The 20,008-nt window shown below is 38.0% G+C and overlaps 1 pseudogene, besides 1 other annotated feature; it reads right to left on the bottom strand.

Annotated features, from left to right (window-relative positions):
• Nucleotides 2,567–3,133: an enhancer, noted in NCBI's record as "NANOG-H3K27ac-H3K4me1 hESC enhancer chr10:109223615-109224181 (GRCh37/hg19 assembly coordinates)". NCBI's record gives its function as "activates a minimal SCP1, AML or CMV promoter by ChIP-STARR-seq in naive H9 embryonic stem cells {active_cell/tissue: H9 hESC(naive)}" and the evidence as "EXISTENCE:reporter gene assay evidence [ECO:0000049][PMID:30033119]".
• Nucleotides 5,321–5,430, bottom strand: RNA5SP326 (RNA, 5S ribosomal pseudogene 326; annotated as a pseudogene).

Below are 20,008 nucleotides of genomic sequence, written 5' to 3'. Positions count from 1 at the left end.
TTTGTTGCCATTGCTTTTGGTGTTTTGGACATGAAGTCCTTGCCCATGCCTATGTCCTGAATGGTAATGCCTAGGTTTTCTTCTAGGGTTTTTATGGTTTTAGGTCTAACGTTTAAGTCTTTAATCCATCTTGAATTGATTTTTGTATAAAGTGTAAGGACGGGATCCAGTTTCAGCTTTCTACATATGGCCAGCCAGTTTTCCCAGCACCATTTATTAAATAGGGAATCCTTTCCCCATTGCTTGTTTTTCTCAGGTTTGTCAAAGATCAGATAGTTGTAGATATGCGGCGTTATTTCTGAGGGCTCTGTTCTGTTCCATTGATCTATATCTCTGTTTTGGTACCAGTACCATGCTGTTTTGGTTACTGTAGCCTTGTAGTATAGTTTGAAGTCAGGTAGTGTGATGCCTCCAGATTTGTTCTTTTGGCTTAGGATTGCCTTGGCGATGCGGGCTCTTTTTTGGTTCCATATGAACTTTAAAGTAGTTTTTTCCAATTCTGTGAAGAAAGTCATTGGTAGCTTGATGGGGATGGCATTGAATCTGTAAATTACCTTGGGCAGTATGGCCATTTTCACGATATTGATTCTTCCTACCCATGAGCATGGAATGTTCTTCCATTTGTTTGTATCCTCTTTTATTTCCTTGAGCAGTGGTTTGTAGTTCTCCTTGAAGAGGTCCTTCACATCCCTTGTAAGTTGGATTCCTAGGTATTTTATTCTCTTTGAAGCAATTGTGAATGGGAGTTCACTCACGATTTGGCTCTCTGTTTGTCTGTTGTTGGTGTATAGGAATGCTTGTGATTTTTGTACATTGATTTTGTATCATGAGACTTTGCTGAAGTTGCTTATCAGCTTAAGGAGATTTTGGGCTGAGACAATGGGGTTTTCTAGATATACAATCATGTCATCTGCAAACAGGGACAATTTGACTTCCTCTTTTCCTAATTGAATACCCTGTATTTCCTTCTCCTGCCTAATTGCCCTGGCCAGAACTTCCAACACTATGTTGAATAGGAGTGGTGAGAGAGGGCATCCCTGTCTTGTGCAGTTTTCAAAGGGAATGCTTCCAGTTTTTGCCCATTCAGTATGATATTGGCTGTGGGTTTGTCATAGATAGCTCTTATTATTTTGAAATACGTCCCATCAATACCTAATTTATTGAGAGTTTTTAGCATGAAGGGTTGTTGAATTTTGTCAAAGGCCTTTTCTGCATCAATTGAGATAATCATGTGGTTTTTGTCTTTGGTTCTGTTTATATGCTGGATTACATTTATTGATTTGCGTATATTGAACCAGCCTTGCATCCCAGGGATGAAGCCCACTTGATCATGGTGGATAAGCTTTTTGATGTGCTGCTGGATTTGTTTTGCCAGTATTTTATTGAGGATTTCTGCATCAATGTTCATCAAGGATATTGGTCTAAAATTCTCTTTTTTGGTTGTGTCTCTGCCCGGCTTTGGTATCAGAATGATGCTGGCCTCATAAAATGAGTTAGGGAGGATTCCCTCTTTTTCTATTGATTGGAATAGTTTCAGAAGGAATGGTACCAGTTCTTCCTTGTACCTCTGGTAGAATTCGGCTGTGAATCCATCTGGTCCTGGACTCTTTTTGGTTGGTAAACTATTGAGTATTGCCACAATTTCAGCTCCTGTTATTGGTCTATTCAGAGATTCAACTTCTTCCTGGTTTAGTCTTGGGAGAGTGTATGTGTCGAGGAATTTATCCATTTCTTCTAGATTTTCTAGTTTATTTGCGTAGAGGTGTTTGTAGTATTCTCTGATGGTAGTTTGTATTTCTGTGGGATTGGTGGTGATATCCCCTTTATCATTTTTTATTGTGTCTATTTGATTCTTCTCTCTTTTTTTCTTTATTAGTCTTGCTAGCGGTCTATCAATTTTGTTGATCCTTTCAAAAAACCAGCTCCTGGATTAATTAATTTTTTGAAGGGTTTTTTGTGTCGCTATTTCCTTCAGTTCTGCTCTGATTTTAGTTATTTCTTGCCTTCTGCTAGCTTTTGAATGTGTTTGCTGTTGCTTTTCTAGTTCTTTTAATTGTGATGTTAGGGTGTCAATTTTGGATCTTTCCTGCTTTCTCTTGTGGGCATTTAGTGCTGTAAATTTCCCTCTACACACTGCTTTGAATGCGTCCCAGAGATTCTGGTATGCTGTGTCTTTGTTCTCGTTGGTTTCAAAGAACATCTTTATTTCTGCCTTCATTTCGTTATGTATCCAGTAGTCATTCAGGAGCGGGTTGTTCAGTTTCCATGTAGTTGAGCGGTTTTGAGTGAGATTCTTTTTTTTTTTTTTTTTTTTTTTGAGACGGAGTCTCGCTCTGTCGCCCAGGCCGGACTGCGGACTGCAGTGGCGCAATCTCGGCTCACTGCAAGCTCCGCTTCCCGGGTTCACGCCATTCTCCTGCCTCAGCCTCCCGAGTAGCTGGGACTACAGGCGCCAGCCACCGCGCCCGGCTAATTTTTTGTATTTTTAGTAGAGACGGGGTTTCACCTTGTTAGCCAGGATGGTCTCGATCTCCTGACCTCATGATCCACCCGCCTCGGCCTCCCAAAGTGCTGGGATTACAGGCGTGAGCCACCGCGCCCGGCCTTGAGTGAGATTCTTAATCCTGAGTTCTAGTTTGATTGCACTGTGGTCTGAGAGATAGTTTGTTATCATCTCTGTGAGGTGTCAGTGTGCCCCTGCTGGGGGGTGCCTCCCAGTTAGGCTGCTCGGGGGTCAGGGGTCAGGGACCCACTTGAGGGAGGCAGTCTGCCCGTTCTCAGATCTCCAGCTGCATGCTGGGAGAACCACTGCTCTCTTCAAAGCTGTCAGATAGGGACATTTAAGTCTGCAGAGGTTACTGCTGTCTTTTTGTTTGTCTGTGCCCTGCCCCCAGAGGTGGAGCCTACAGAGGCAGGCAGGCCTCCTTGAGCTGTGGTGGGCTCCACCCAGTTCGAGCTTCAGGCTGCTTTGTTTACCTAAGCAAACCTGGGCAATGGCGGGCGCCCCTCCCCCAGCCTCGCTGCCGCCTTGCAGTTTGATCTCAGACTGCTGTGCTAGCAATCAGCGAGACTCCGTGGGCGTAGGACCCTCTGAGCCAGGTGCGGGATATAATCTCGTGGTGCGCCATTTTTTAAACCTGTCCGAAAAGCGCAATATTCGGGTGGGAGTGACCCGATTATCCAGGTGCATCCGTCACCCCTTTCTTTGACTTGGAAAGGGAACTCCCTGACCCCTTGCACCTCCCAAGTGAGGCAATGCCTCGCCCTGCTTTGGCTCGCGCATGGTGCACGCACCCACTGACCTGCGCCCACTGTCTGGCACTCCCTAGTGAGATGAACCCGGTACCTCAGATGGAAATGCAGAAATCACCCGTCTTCTGCCGTCTTCTTCGTCGCTCATACTGGGAGCTGTATACTGGAGCTGTTCTATTTGGCCATCTTGGCTCCTCCCCCGAAAGTTTTTTGTAACAGAATTTTTCAAATGTGCTTGTGCAAGTATTGAAATGATTATGCAGTTGAATACATTTCTTTAATATTTATTGTTCAGTTCTGCAAGCAATTGATTCTCTCAGGTTTGTTTGAAAACCATTTTTTTAATTTATTTTTGAAACATATTTTTTGTGGTTATAGAAATCTGACCAGGTAATTTTTTGTTCTTTCGGTGTTTCTCTGCTTTCTACTTTAAAATTTAGAGGTGTTCCTTACTTCATTGTTTTCTAAGTTGCTATGTTCTGAAAAGAGATCTGTGGTTACCCAGACATAGTCTTCTTCTGTACTTTATATATTCCCCCTGCCCTGGCTACATTCAAGATTTTTCTTGTATTTTTATGCCTCAGGAGTTTGACTATGATAATGCCTGTGTGTGTCTATGTGTGTGTGTTTGGTTTGGTTTAGTCTGGCCTCGGTTTTTTTGGTCGTGGGTTTGGTTCTTGTTTTTGCCTTTCCAAGTTCTTAATTGGAATTTTGAACTTTGTGGATCTGTGGTTTCTTGTCTATTAATTTTGAAAAATTCTTGGCCATTATCACATTAAACACTTCTGAAACAACCATCTTCCTCTCCTCTACCTGGGACTCCAATTACATGTATGTTAGAGAAAAGCTGTTTTCCCACAATTCTTAAATGTTCTGTTCAGTATTTTCTTAACATTTTTTCCTCCTTTTATTTCATTTTATTTTTATTTATTTATTTATTGAAACGGGGTCTCACTCTGTTGCCCAGGCTGGAGTGCAGTGGCGTGATCTCAGCTCACTGCAACCTCTAACTCCTGGGTTCAAGCGATTCTCTTGCCTCAGCTTCCCAAGTAGTTGGAATTACAGGGACCTGCCACCACACCCAGCTAATTTTTGTATTTTTAGTAGGGTCAGGGTTTCACCATGTTGGTCAGGTTGGTCTCGAAATCCTGACCTCAGGTGATCCACCCGCTTTGGCCTCCCAAAGTGCTGAGATTACAGGTGTGAGCCACTGTGCCCGGCCCCTTTTATTTCATTTTAGATAATTGATATTGACCTACCTATTCTCAAATTTGTTGACTTTTTGTTGTGATATTATTGAAAAGTCCTTTGAAAACATTCATAGTGTGTGTGTGTGTATAAGTGTGTGCACGTGTGTGATTTCTAACACTATTATTTCACTCTTTTTATTGATTCCTTTTGTGGTAAGAAGAATAATGTTCCCCTCCCCAATATATTCACATCCTAATTCTCAGAACCAGTGAAATGTTATATTTCATGGCAAAAGGGATTTTGCAGATATAATTAAAGTTAAGAATTTAAGATGGGGAGAATATCCTGGATTACCCTCACGGGCCTAAAATAATCACACCAGCCCACAAAAGCAGATAATTTTCTCTGGCTGGAGGCAGAATAGATGTGACAGAAGTAAAATCAGATAGAATTGAAGCATGAACAAGACTTGACACCATGATTTATAAAGATGGAGGGGGTAATATGATGAGGAATTCAGGTGGCTGTAAGGAGTTAAGAGAAAATCCTGGCTTGACAGCAAGAAAACAGAGACCTCAGTCCCACAATGACAAAGAGTTGAATTCTGACCATTTAGTTGTCATTAGAACATTATATAGTTCACTATTTATTAAGGTCATCTTGCTTTCTTTTCTCAAAGCTTTGTTTTTTTCAGCATCCAGATCTTTCAAATATTTTGCTGGATTATAATACTTTCATTTTCTGTTATGTTGTAATTGGTAATTTTCTAAATAATGATTTTTAAAAAATTGTTTTTAGAGGTTGTCCTAGAGTTGAATACATCTTACATATTTAATTTATTCAATTTTCAAGTATACGACTTCATGTGTTGTTTAAGGATCATACAACATTATATTTTCTCCCACCCAAGTACCAAGCAGGCCCAACCTTGCTTAGCTTCCGAGACCAGACAAGATCAGCTGCATTCAGGGTGGTATGGCTGTAGATATATAACTGTATTTCTTCTAATTTATCTTGGCATCATTTGTGCTATTGTTGTCAGATATTTTAGTTTTGCATATGCTATCAACTATTTGTGCCTTAAACGGTCACTTATCTTTTAAAGCAATGGAAAGGAGAAAAGTAATTTTCAGTTATCTTCATTTGTTCCAATTTCAGTGCCCTTCCTTTTCGTGGTGTAGATGTAAGTTTCTGTTTGATATCGTATTCCTTGTTTCTAAAAACCTCCTTTTTAACATTCAATGTAGAATTGGGGTGACAATGAATTCCCTCAGTAGTTGTTTGTATGAGAAAGTCTTTGTTTCTCCATTACTTAAACACATTTTCTCTAGGCATAGAATTCTAGGTTGAATGTGTTGTTGTCTGGATTGTTTTTCAATTTATCATTTTAAAGATGTCATTGTATTTCCATCTACATTGATTGGTTTTACACAAGAATGGCTGACTACTTCCTCAATAATTCTTATACTTGTTACTCTGTATGGGATATCTTGTTTCCCTTTTGCTGTCTGCATTCAAGATTTTCCATTTGACTCTTATTTCCAGTAGTTTGAACATGATATAGCTAAATGTAGTGGTCTTGGGATTTATTCTGCCTCTGTTCTCTGAGATTCTTAGATCTGTTGTCTGATGACTGTCATTAGGTTTGGAAAGTTCGCAGGTATTATTTCTTCAAATGTCCCTTTAGCCTAATTTATATCTCTTCTTCTATGATTCTAATTACCCTTACATGCATTGTTCTATACATGTCTTAATGTTTTTTTGTTGTTGTTCTCTTTTTCTATCTTCTGTTTTGTTTGCTTGAAAATGTCTATTGAAACATCTTCAGGTTCCTTTGATTCTTTCCTTCTCTGATAAGCCTGCTGAAGTCACTGTTAATTTCTTTTATTGTGCTTATCATTTCTAGCTTTTCCATTTGATTGTGTCTTACAGTTCCCATCTCCCTGTTGAAACTACCTACTTTGATCTTGTAATTATTCAACTTTTCCATTAAAAACTTTATCATATTAAACATAGTTATTCTAAATCATCTATTAGATAATACTAAATTCGGTGTCATATCTTAGTCTCATCCTGATGACTGGTTTTATCTCTTGGTAGTATTGGCCTTTTCTTGCTTTTTCACATTTCTTAATGTGGTTTGTTTTTGAAAGCCAGAGATCTTGTAAAGGATAGTAAAGACTGAGATAAACAGCTTTTATGCCTGGGCACATTTTCTTTCTGCTTGGCCTTTAGTGCTGGGGCTTGAATTAACCTAGTTAGAAATTTGACCAATGAGATTTCTATTGCGATGGTTACTGCCAGCATATCACACTCTTCAGATCCCTGTAGCCGTACATTTTATTTAAAGAGGAGGCTGCTTCCCAGAGGCTTTTGGCTTCGTTTTTGTTTTCTCTGAATGCTCATCCATTCTCAGTTTCATGCCTTCTCTTTGCCAGCACCATGTCTTGGGTCTTCGGGGTGTCCCCTACACAGTGATCCTGCTCTTACCCTGGCTGTAGTTCTGAACCCAGCACACATTCCTGCCTACCTTCCAAGATAGGGACTTTTCTATCTGTTTGCTTTCCTCAGTTGCAATGAATCCTCACCTGTGCCCTAAGGGCATCCATGTTTTCTGTCCTTCCCAGCATAGGTTGAGGCTTTTTTTCCTGAGCAGAGATAGAGGAGCATCCTTCTCTGCATAAACTCCTGTTCCCCTCTCCTCTCAGCTCTGTACCACAAAGAACATTTAGTTACTTTTTTCCAATCTTGTCTGTGAGCACTCAGCAGGGTTCATGGAGAAGAATCCTTGAAAAGGGCATAGACTTCTCCAGTTTGTGTGAGTTTTAGGGGCCTCACATGTTCAACAGCACATGATCAGCTTCCGCCAATTTAACCAAGGACCCTTTCTGGGTACTGTGATTGGTGTCCAGTTGTGCCTGTCACAAGTAGTCCAGTATTCATACACCATCTCTGCCTAAAGATGCCTACCTTTCTTCAATTTTGGGCTAGGCGCTTGCCCTGAAAACTCAAGATTGCTGATGAATTTTTAAAAACTCATAAAATTAATTTCAATTTGTCTGGCTTATTTTTTTATTGTAATAATAATTATGGTGCTCTTTCTATCCCTAAGCATCTCAATTAATTTGGTAATATTTAAACCCACGTGGAATTCCTGAGTTACACAGGTGGATAATTAAATGAATTGTAAAAACAAAAACAAAAACAAAAACTATGTACTATAAATAACTTATATCCAGTTTTACATTTGTAAGTAATCCAATTCTGTGTTCAAGGACAAGGTTACAACCACACCAATTCCAGAATCTCAAACTTTGAATATCTGCTTTCTAGGGCCACTACTGGTACAGTATACATCAGAGTCTAATAAGAAAAACAGATATTACATTCTGTAATTCAACAGTGAACGTTTTACATAGAGTATTGTTAACCAAGATGTAGAATGATGAAAGAGCAAAAATGGAACAGCATGGTAACATAGAAGTAGTAACTGCAGGAAATAACTAATACCCATAAGGCTAGGAGAACAAATGGATAAAGACAGAGTTATCAAAATCTTGAATTTCATAGTAGGGGTCATGTACAGGCGGAACTAAGATCAGTGAAGACAGGTTGGCTCCTAGTTACTGCTGGTACCTCAAGAACTTAGAGAAAGGACCTTGCAGAACTGGGGATGAGACTTCTCTGGAGTAAGTATTGCTTGTCTGTTGCTGATATTCAGGAGATCCTCAAAGGGATCTTGTGGATCTGGGTTTGGATTTCCAAGAAATGCTGCTCAGCCTACTTACTGCTAGTGCTTCTGAGGGGCTCCTAAGCTGGTTTTAAGAGTGCTGAAAGAAGTTGAAGGCAGGAATCAGGTGTTGCTACTGCATTAAATTCCTTCGTTGGGTGACGCTAACAGATGTAACAGTTACAAAAGGAGACACATCCCTTTTTGTCCCTCTTCCTCAGGAGCCTGCCTTTTATTGGCAGATTCTAAAAGGAAGCCTTTGGATGGGGGAAAAATATATTTTGCCTAATTCAGTCCTGACATTATGACACAGAGTAAATAAATGTAGATAATTAACAGATAATCGTATAATTTTTAAAAATATACATGGCTTTGGAGAAAAGCTTAATGTCACATTTGGCTATATTTTGTATAAAATTTGGGAGAAATATATAAGTTCTAGCTCAAGGACAAGAAAGAGGGATTAATGTGGTGTATTTGTTTTGAAAGAGGGAAGAGAATATTCATAAATACTTAGATGTTATGTTTATATACAGTATGGAGACATAATGTATGTGTCAGTATGGCTTTAGTCCTCTATGGTCCCAGTTAAGGAAAACCTGGTGTATAATGTGTGTGGTGGAGGCCAGTTGTACATGGGCATGTGTTTCTGCATTCTTACTCCTCCCACAGTATTTGAACTTCAACCAAGAATATAACTTTTATATACATTTACTGCAAATCAATTCAAGCCTCATTTATTTTGTAATACAATTACCTTGTTAAGTATAAATCAGAGCACTACAGCAAATAATTACATAAAATGATATCAAATAAACATAAAACATAAAAATATGAGGTGAGGAGAGCTTAATGGAATTATATTATAAGAGGTCTTCTCTTTCTAAATGTTTTATCTTTCATAATAAAATAGTATATGGGAACCCACATGCAGTGAGCTATTTGTCTGTCCAGTGATAAAGGAGTAGAGCTACTGGAAATTTTTTCACTCCATGTCTCATTGTTCTTCCTGTATAGGATACAAACATATCATGGAGATGGTGAAATATTACTCCCTTTATAGGAAACGAAAGGATCAGAAGTGTTTTTTGCAATAGTTAAATAGTTTATATAAACCATGTTCTCTGGAATAAAGACAAATAGAAAAAATGGGTTGGCCCTTTTTTTTTATTTTTTTTATTTAAGAAAGATAAATAAGAACAAAAGCAAAGAGCTGGGTTTTGAAAGTCAAACTACAAATTGGCAGGCAGAAATTCCAGACTTCTCTCAAGCTCCTGAGTCTACAAATAATTGCCAGATAACCCAGACAATCAGGAAAAGAGTCACAAAAATAATTTGGAATCAAGAGCAAGAATCTATGAAAATGAGACTTATACTGAAAAACCCTGCTAAGAGGTATGTATGTTAAATGTATTGCTTAAATTCAATCCCTCAAATGCATTTCTGATTGATAAGCAAGTTCCAGAGACTAGAATAAGAAATAAAAGATAAGGGAAAACAATCTTCTCTACAAATTGCAGATACTACCTGAAGGTTAAAGAGCATATTTCTTCTCTTTGAGACAGGGTCTTGCTCTGTCGTCCAGGCTAGATGCAGTGGCATGATCATGGCTCACTGCAGCCTCGACCTTCCGCGCTCCGGCAGTCCTCCCACCTCAGCCTCCTGAGTGAGTAGCTGGCGCCATAGGCATGTGCCACCACAGGTGGGTAGTTTTTGTAATATTTGTAGAGATGGGATTTCGCCATGTTGCCCAGGCTGGTCTCAAACACCTGAGCTCAAGTGATCCACCTGCCTCAGCCTCCCCAAAGTGCTGGGATTACAGGTGTGAGCCGCTATGCTTGGCCAAGAGCATATTCTTAACACAAAAAATAGTGACCTTTCTAGAAAAAGCAATGTTATCAAGTTAATAAGAAATTGATTTGAAATCCTGCGTGCTTAAGATGGGAAATCGGCCTCATTCCCATGTTTTTTGCTCTTGGAAATTTACATTCAACAAAATGTGGTCATCCTGTTTCTATCAGATGTTGATAATAGTAATTTCCCAAAATGTTAGTTTCTCAGTCTTGATATTTTTCATAATAAATAAACCTATATAGGAGTCCTTGACTAACACTAGTTTTGGAATTCCCTAAATGGTTTAGAATCAAAGGCAATTGTCCTTGCCTTGAGCCAAGGCTTGGCAGGATCACAATTGTTTTGATCCAAGGTTCCTGAAGGATGCCTGAGTTACAAGCTCTTCTGTTGGTCAATACTCAGCTGTCAGGATATGACCTGGAAGTTGATTGAGTAAATAAAGTCCACTGAGCCAAGAAATTCTAATTCCCTAGCCACGTCTCCATCTATGACTGCATATACTCATTTCTGCTAAAGCTGGGCCTGGATTTTCCATAACTTCACAAGGGAATCTTGCATTTACTGACACAAGGCAGTCAAAGCTGAATGAAGCACAATCCCTGCTCTTAGGTGGCTTATAGGTTTTGGAGGGGATACAGGCATACAAAAAGAGAGGAGAAATCCATATTATGTATCAAATGCTGTAGTGAAGTTATGCCTAGGATTTGATGGGAACTCACTGGAAGAATGAGAATGGGATAGTAGAATTCCATTCCAAAATGGGTGCTCAAAGATGTAAGCTTTAAGTCTTGAAACATGAAAAGGGTCTTCAGAAGCAAAAAAATGAGGTGATAGAAATATTAATATTGACGTTTAACATTATGGAATGCTTATTTGTGCAAGTAACTGTGCTAAATTATTTGCATGCACTATTACATTTAATACCCTAAACAACCCTATGAGGTAGATGTCATTACTATTTCCATTTTATTATACTAATAAGAAAAGGGTAGCTCAGCATCATTAAGTGGGAACTCAACATTCTTAGAGTCAGAATCAGAGTATCTAACTCTAATGTACTTGCTCTTAAATACCATGGGTCCTCCCTCCCCTATGACACTAGAGGGAAGAACATTGAGGCAAATAGAAGTGTATGATGAGATGTGTATGATGTGAGCTGAGCAAGAACACAGCAAAGTAAGAAAATGAAAGTACAATGGAGGGGCAAGAAGGGGTCAGATCAGAGAAGACCTTGAATGCTGTAGTAAGAAGCCTGGATTTTTAAGTGGGAAATAGTTGAAGATCATTGGATGACATTTAGCTGGAGAGATGCCATAATATAGTAAATTTACACCAGCACAACTGTGGATATTTGGATTAAAGACAGATGAGAACAGGAACAGAGAAACAAGTCCAAAAGTTGTATAATTCAGGTTGAAAATAAAGAGATCCTGGAATAATGCAGTGGCGGTTGAATGCAGAGATGAAGCAAGAATTAACAGCCATTTGAAGGTAGAGATGTAGGACTTGTTGAACAATGTGCGTTAAGCCAGCCGGGAATAGGAATCTTAAATACTTCCTTGGTATCACAATTAGGTAACTGGATAATTGATTGTATTATTCATTTAAATATAAAATACAGGAGGAAAAAGATAAGTTTCTGAAGGAAATAATGAGTTTAATTTTGTTGTCCATGAGACCCAGGATACATTGAGAGGTACCTTTGGAGAGAATGCTTTGCTGGGAAGGTAGAGAGAAAATTTTATCAGTATATAGGTGTTTGGTTTAGATGCCACAGATATTGCCTTGTCATTTTATAAAGACTAGTATGCAGTGCCAGACTATTTAGTAATATATCTTCTTATGTTTTTAACTAAGAATGATGATAACACATGCAGAATTTTGATAAAATATACTATCACAATGGTAGATCTATTTTTTAATGGCGGCTCGAATCCCAAACTTCTCCGTAACTCTTTGACATGGGACTTTATGGCTTCTCCATTCATCATCAACTGGTGGAATATATTCCTCCACCCCTTGAATCTGGGCTGATCTTTAACTCACTTTGGCCAATAGAATGCATTAGAAGTTCTGAACCCAGGCCTCAAGAGACCTTTCATGCTTCTATTCTCTCGGTTTCATGGAACCTCATGACCATTATGATAAAAAGTCAGGACTAACCTGCTGCAGCATGAAATGTCCAGGATAGACAAATCTATCAACTCAGAAATATATTACTGAGGAGAGCTGGGGTAAATGGGGAGATTTGGTTGAAGGCCAAGAAGTGCAGTGTTTTTTGGAGGGACGATGAAAATATTCCAAAATTGATTGTAGTGATGGATGCTCCATTGTGTAAATATGCTAAAAACCATGGCATTATATTAAAAGGGCAAATTGTACAGTGTGTGAATTGTGTATCAAAGCTGTCTAAAAAATAAAGAAAACAAAACACGTCTTTAAGTTTTCAGAATGTTCACTGCAGGTTTCCTTCACATATTGAATTGCCCTAGTGAATTACCTCAATGGATATAATGAGATTAAGTTTATAAAACCTATTACTCTTGTATAAAGCAAGGCCCTGCAGTGTGAGAATTCAGCAGATTATATTGCTACCTGTGGTCCAGCAAGGTCTCTTTTGTAAGAGAAATCCTATAAATCTGTCAGCTGTATTTTTTCCTCATAGGACTATTTGGTGTGAGGCTAACTTTAACCCCAGAAATGTTTCTTACAATTTCCTCCCTGGGAGTCTGCCTTTTATGGCTGCTGATACACCTTAATGGCTTTTGGCAGAGATGAAATTAGAGAACACAGAAAATATTATCAAGGATGGCCCTGGGGTCTAGGAAGGCCATACCACCAGCAACACTGTTTTGTTTCAGGCTTTTAGTACTTTTTTCTTGGTTGCTATAATCTAAAAGACAGTGGCATTTCCTCATAAAATATCGTGCAGCCTTAAATTCAGGCAATTACCTGCTGGAAAAGGCATTGTGTGGCCATGGTGAGGTAGCCAGAATGTGGAGAGAGTTTGGGAATAAGGGAGGTACTGCCCCAATCCTGCCTACCCTGCTTACAAATGGTTAAACCCGTGCATCTGCCAATTCATCATTTTTATCTCTATACGATTGAATAGATCTTCGTGTGTGTATGTGTTTCCAAGGAAAGTCTGGCTTCAGCTAATACTGAGCTTTAAATAGCAAATCTTGGCTTTGGTGCTTTATTGGAAATATTTCCAATTACTTCAATACCATTTTTATTTTGGGCTGCCATGTGCTGGTACTGGAAGGAATATGGAACATAAGGACCCTTGGTGTTCCAGGAAACTCTGTCTTCGTTACAGTTATAGTTAAATCTATGGACCCAGATCCACCCTACCAGCTGTAAGTAGACCATCTCTGCCCTAAAATCAGAATGAACTTAGTAATCTTTGATCACAGGAGACTCTATCTACTGATGTCTCCTCCGATATCAGGCATTCGTCTCCGACATTATACCTGCCCTTCTCTCTAAGACCACCAGCCTTATACCGCAGTCTGACCCCTGTATAAGGAGAGGATATATATGTGTGTGTGTGCATGTGTGTAAATATATCAAAGAATTAGCAGGGAAAATAACATTGTTAGAGGTGTAATAAGAAAACTCACTGGTTTTAGAGTCAGAAAATCTGAATTTTAAACCATCTTAGCAAAAGGATGAGATATAGAAAAATTCTCATTTTCTTAACCTAAAAAATGGCCACAAAGACTGTACCAATTGCAGCCTTGTCCTGAAGATGAAGAAATACAATAAGATACAGGAAATTATTATAAATATAGGATCGTCTTTGATAATGATAATTTATGTGCCCCTTGGTTCAATTTTGTGTTGGTACCAGCCAGAGGATGACTTCCTTCCTCAGGGGCGTGACTGAGTCTTTCCTATGCAGAATAAAAGTCTCCCTTCCAATTGTTTCAAACCGGAGAGCAACCAGGGCAATGTCTGAGCATCCAAAAGTGTGAATCAGCCTTGCACTTTCTGTTCTGTCTGCATTTTCAATGGGATTCAGGCAGCTGACCATCTCAGAACAGGCTCTAGCTATAAAGCTTAATTATGTGAAATATGCACCCTGGGGGCACTGGCAGCTCTCAGTGGAGAAAATTTGGGAAATGAGATTGGGGAATTGGATTGAAGTAGTTAAATGTTGCCAATTTGCACTTTCCAAGTTAGGGACCAAGACTACTACTTAAAGGATTAATACATAAACATGTTGGTTCCCCTGAAAGACATGCCATTATTAAACAAATTTCAGTAATTAAAGACCAGTCTCTTCCATGCAAATAGCATTCCTTTGGCCTAAATGCATGTAATCAATCTATAGCCTTGTGTCATTGAGGTAGCTGTGCCAAAACATGGTTCTCAAAAAGGCAGAGAGAGAAACTCTTAAACATCCCTTTAATGTTCGGCTACCTGGGCAATGGAACTCTACCCATTGCTTGAGACTAGAATATGCTGCAAAAATATACCGTAGTTTAGGATGGCATAATCTGACCTACACTTTAAGATGCAAATGCAGCTGTCTACCTCAGACACCCTGATATATTAGAAAATCAGCAGAGGATGACTTTGAAACCTTGAGGCTCAGCTCTCAGATTTCTTTTCCCTTCCATTAATCATACAATGTCCTTCAGGTGTTTTATTTTCCCACCTTAATTCTCCCATTCTCATTGACCTCACCCCCAGCCACATCCCATGAAAGAATCTGGTAGAAGTCATTTACTCTTTATAGTGACTTTAAATTAGGAAGGTGGAATCCCTGTAAAAGCATGTGAGTTTTATCACAGTGTCAACTCACATAGGAAATGATGATCTGGGTCATTACACTGAGATTCTGAAGCAGCATTCTAGGCTCAAAGTGGAGTTTATGGTGGAGGAAGGTGCAACGATCAATGACCAATGGCTAATGTCTTAGAACTTTAAGCCAAACCTGAAAGGATGTTTTAACAGACTCCTCTTTCTGCTTCATTAGTGGGGAAAGTGAGGGCCCTGTTCGCCCGGCTGCGGCAAAAGGAACAAGGGGTTGTCTACATGCATTCAGACCAAAAGAACTCTGTTTCAAGGAAGAGATTAGTCCTAAGTTATTAAAATTTATTTAATTATAGCACATAGCTTGCTTTCAAAGTAGAAAATTTTATTTTGTACTTCATTTCTGTTACCACCTAAAAAGCAACCTTCTGTAAAGATTCTGGTGTGAGATAGTTCCACTGCAGTATGAATTCGAGGGAGCGAGGTGTGATATTTAGAATGGGAAATAGGTTTCAATCTTAAAGGTTGCCTGAAGCAATGAATTGAGGAGGATACTGAGACCGCGCCATGGCTCTATTAACTGATTATCAATATCTGCTTTGGGCATAAGAAGACAGGACTTGGAAAACTGATGACTTGTTGATTGTTGTTTAGTAAAAAGAATACCTGAGACTTTGTTCTACACGTAGCTCTGCTTCTGACAAATTGTCTTATCTTAGTCATATCATGTTACCATTTGGGCTTTGACCAGGACCAGAAGATTATTTACTAATGCATAGAATTATAAGTTTTATTTTCTTTTAAACTTTATTTGGACATGATTTCAGACTTATGAAAAGTTGTAGGAATTGAACAAGACATCTTCACATACTCTTCACCCAGATTCCCCAAATGTTAACATTTCCTCTTGTGCTTTTTGTTTCCTGTGTGTACTCACATGAAAACGTTCTCTCATTCTCACTTCCTCTCTCTACAGGCCCTTCTGTTTTCTTCCTCTCTCTTTTCCATGTGTCTATCTATGCCTCGATCGATATCTACACACACACACACACACAGACACACGTGTACATACTTTTTGAAACATTTAAGAATAAATTACAGATGTGATGCCCCTTTGTTCCTTTACAGTATATTTCCTAGAAGTAAGACTATTCTCTTATATAACCACAGTACAGTTATCAAAATCAGAAAATTAATATTAAAGCAACATTCTTTAGTTTCACCATTGTTCCAATGATTTCCAGAGGAAAATCAGATTATTTGTTGCAAAAAGTTATCATGTTTCCCTAATTTTCTTTAATCCAGAAGCCTTCTTAAATTTGTACTGCATGATACTAACATTAAAAAAAAATAAAATGCAGGTATTTTGTAGAATATACGTAAATTGGGCCTGTCTGATATTTCTTTTCTTTTCTTTTCTTTTCTTTTCTTTTTTCTGAGACAGAGTCTTGCTCTGTCACACAGGCTGTAGTGCAATGGCGCGATCTCTGCTAACTGCAACCTCCTCCTCCCAGGCTCAAGCAACTCTCCTGCCTCAGCCTCCTGAGTAGCTGGGATTACAGGCACTCACCACCATGCCTGGCTAATTTTGTATTTTTAGTAGAGACAGGGTTTCACCATGTTGGCCAGGTTGGTTTTGAACTGCTGACCTCAAATGATCCGCCCGCCTCAGCCTCCCAAAGTGCTGGGATTACAGGCACGAGCCACAACTCCCTGCTTGATACTTCTAAATGATTAGGTTCAGATCATTATTGCCTGGAATTCTACTAAGGGATTTTTCTGTCCTTCTCGGTGAATCACGTTCGGAGGAACGTGGTGTGGGCTTACCACCTTTCTGGTGATATTCACTATGATCACTTGGTTTCTCCAAGGTACAGGTTCTTATGCTTCCCCTTTTTAATTAATAACTTGTAAAGATATATTTTGAAACTATGTAGTTTCCTTTCAAATAGTTACTTGTCAATATTTTACTTAACAGTTTCATTACCTCTTGAGGAGTCTTGCCTCAGACAAGGATTACAATAATGACTGCCACTCGATTTTCTAATTCCATCAGTCCTACATTTATTACTTTAATGTCTGCTGTAAAGAAGAGCTTTATTTATTTATTTATTTATTTATTTATTGTTATGCACATGGACTCATGAGTTATTAATTTATTGTATGGATTAAAATTTTTACTATCATGGGTTTAAATATACTCAAATGATCCCAGATTTAGCAAGTGTTGCCCCACAGAACTGGCATTCATTGAGCACTTCATCACGTTATGACACAAAATAATATTTCAGGTACATCTTTTATTGTTCCACTCTATCCCTGAAATCAGCCGTTTATCCAAAATGTCTGGACTTTTTAAGTGGAAAATGTGATTAGAAATCAAGATGTGGCTACTAGGTATGCTCATTGCTACTAGGGTATTATCGCTTCTAGGCTCTCTCAGTGGATAGAGTTAGAAGCCATATAGATATACAAATATATATACAAGGATACATATACACTCATAGGTTTATATCTATATGTATTTCTTAACAGATTTACATTTAAAGATATATATGTATATATATACACAAAATCCTACACAAACATACACATATGTATGAATATACATGCAGCCTAAAGCATTCTTAACTACTTCTTTATTTATGTGTATTAAAATCCAGTTCACACTCATTCTTCCAAATACTAGAGCATTCATACTATCCTTCCGCATTTCCATATTTAAAGCTTCCTTCTCTGACAATGAGAAATCTGGCTTCTAGTATCTACAATATATTTACTTATTTGCTTAGATCTAGAATACACAGAAAGTAGTTTTAGAACTGTTAACCCATCTATCTGTGAAAAAGAAACCTACTAACCAGAGTCCAACATATTTCCAAAGTTAATTTTGTCTTTGGCCTGAAGTGTGTAATCTAAATGCTGTTGAAAATTACCTGATTTTGTTCTTTTTTTTCTCTTCCTCCAGTGTGGTTACATGACTTCTCCAAATATGGTTTAAAAAATGCATTTCTGTTTGTATTTTGTTTTAGACTTCCCCACATATTGTTTTATTTATTATTTATTTCCCTTCATTTAATTATTTGAAACATTAGCAGGGGTCTAAAAGTCAGATGGTTCAACATGGTATGCTTGGAGAAGCTTCATTCTCCACCCTATCCCCATTCCTTCCATTCTTTCCATTGTTCTCACCCAAGCAATGTAACTAACCAATTTCATTAATCTCTAAAGAATCTTTCCTATATGTACAATAAAAAGATACATCCATATTTTCTCACTCCCCCATCTTTCTTACACAAAAAATAGCATATGTTTTATATATATAGAAGTTTTTATTGTATTTGAATGTGTTGAAACACATATCTGCATTTTTTTCAATTTATTTTAGCACTTATAGAGCACTTATGATACTTCAGGTACTGTACATAAGTGGTGAACAAATCAGAGAAAATCTCCATTCTCACAGAATTTATGGGCTAGCAGAAAAGATAGATATTAATCAAGGAATTTCAGTACTTTTCCTTCTTTTTAAACTGCATGATTGTTAGTATTTTTTCTGTGTTTTTTTTATTTTAACTTTTCTATTTCATTAGCTTTAGAGCTACAAGTGATTTTTGGTTATGTGGATAAACCGTATAGTGATGAAGTCTAGGATTTCAGTGTACCATCACCTGAGTAATGTACAATGTACCCTTTAGATAGTTTTTTTTCCTTCATCCCCTTCCCCACTCTCCACTTCTGAGTTTCCAAAGTCCATTATGCCACTCTGTATGCCTTTGTACCCATTCCTCAGCTCCCACTTATAAGTGAGAACATGTGATATTTGATTTTCCATTCCTGAGTTACTTCACTTGGAATAATAGCCTACAGTTCCATGCAAGTTGCTGCAAAAGACATTATTTCATTCTTTTTTTAATGGCTGAGTAGTATTCCATGGTATATATATACACCACATTTTTTTTATCCACTCTTCAGTTGATAGGCATTTAGGTTGATTCCTTGTCTTTGCAATTGTAAATTGTCCTGCAATAAACATACAAGTACAAGTATCTTTTTTGATATAACAACTTCTTGTCCTTTGGGTAGCTACCCAGCAGTGGGATTGCTGGATTGAATGGTAGATCTACATTTTGTTCACTGAGAAATTGAAATCTCCATACTGTTTTCCATAGAAGTTGCACTAACTTACATTCCCACCAGCAGTGTATAAGTGTTCCCTTTTCACCACTTTTGCACCACTATCTATTGTTTTGTGACTTTTTAATAATGGCCATTCTGTCTGGGGTAATGTGGTATCTCACTGTGGTTTTAATTTGCAATTCTCTGATGATTAGTGATGTTGAACATTTTTTAAATACGTTTGCTGGCTATTTGCATATCTTCTTTTGAGATATGTCTACTTATGTATTTTGCCCCCTTTTAATAGGATTATTTGTATTTTTCTTGCTGATTTGTTTAAGTTCTTCTTTGTAGATTCTGGGGACTAATTGTTTGTTGGATGCATAGAAAATATTTTCTCCAATTCTGTAGGTTGCATGTTTACTCTGTTGGTTATTTTCTTTTGCCTTGTGGAAGCATTTTAATTTAAGTCCCATTTATGTATTTTTGCTTTTGTTGCATTTGTTTTCAGGTTGTTAGTTATAATTTCTTTGCCTAGGTTAATGTCCAGAAGAATTTTTTCTAGGTTTTCCTCTAGAATTTTTATGGTTTTTTTGGTCTTAGATTTATGTATTTAATCCATCTTGAATTGTATATGATGAGAGATATGGATTCAGTTTAATTCTTCTACATGTGGCTATCCAATTTTCCTAGAACCATTTATTGTATAAGATGTCTTTTCCCAAGTTTATGTTTTTGTGTGCTTTGTCAAAAATCAGTTGGCTGTAAGTATTTGGCTTTATTTCTGGGTTCTCTATTTTATTCCATTGGTCTGTGGATCTACCTTTACACCAATCCCATGCTGTTTTGGTTACTATAGCCTTTTAGTGTAATTTGAATTTGGGTAATGTGATGCCTCTAGATTTGCTCTTTTGGTTTAGGATTCCCTTGGCTAAGAACAGTATGCTTTTTCTAATCTTTCTATTTTGGCTTTTTCACTTAACTGTATTTCTTGAAAATCACTCCATGTCATAGAAATCTTTCTCTTCCTCATCATTCTATTCTGGATATATTGAGTCCATTCTGTGGATATACCTTAGTTTACTGAATCTCCCTCCTATG

The sequence above is a fragment of the Homo sapiens genome, chromosome 10 (genome assembly GCF_000001405.40).
Source record: "Homo sapiens chromosome 10, GRCh38.p14 Primary Assembly".
Taxonomy (NCBI): Eukaryota; Metazoa; Chordata; class Mammalia; order Primates; family Hominidae; genus Homo; species Homo sapiens.
Note: the sequence above shows the minus strand (reverse complement) of the source record. Positions and strands in the feature narration are given on the sequence as shown.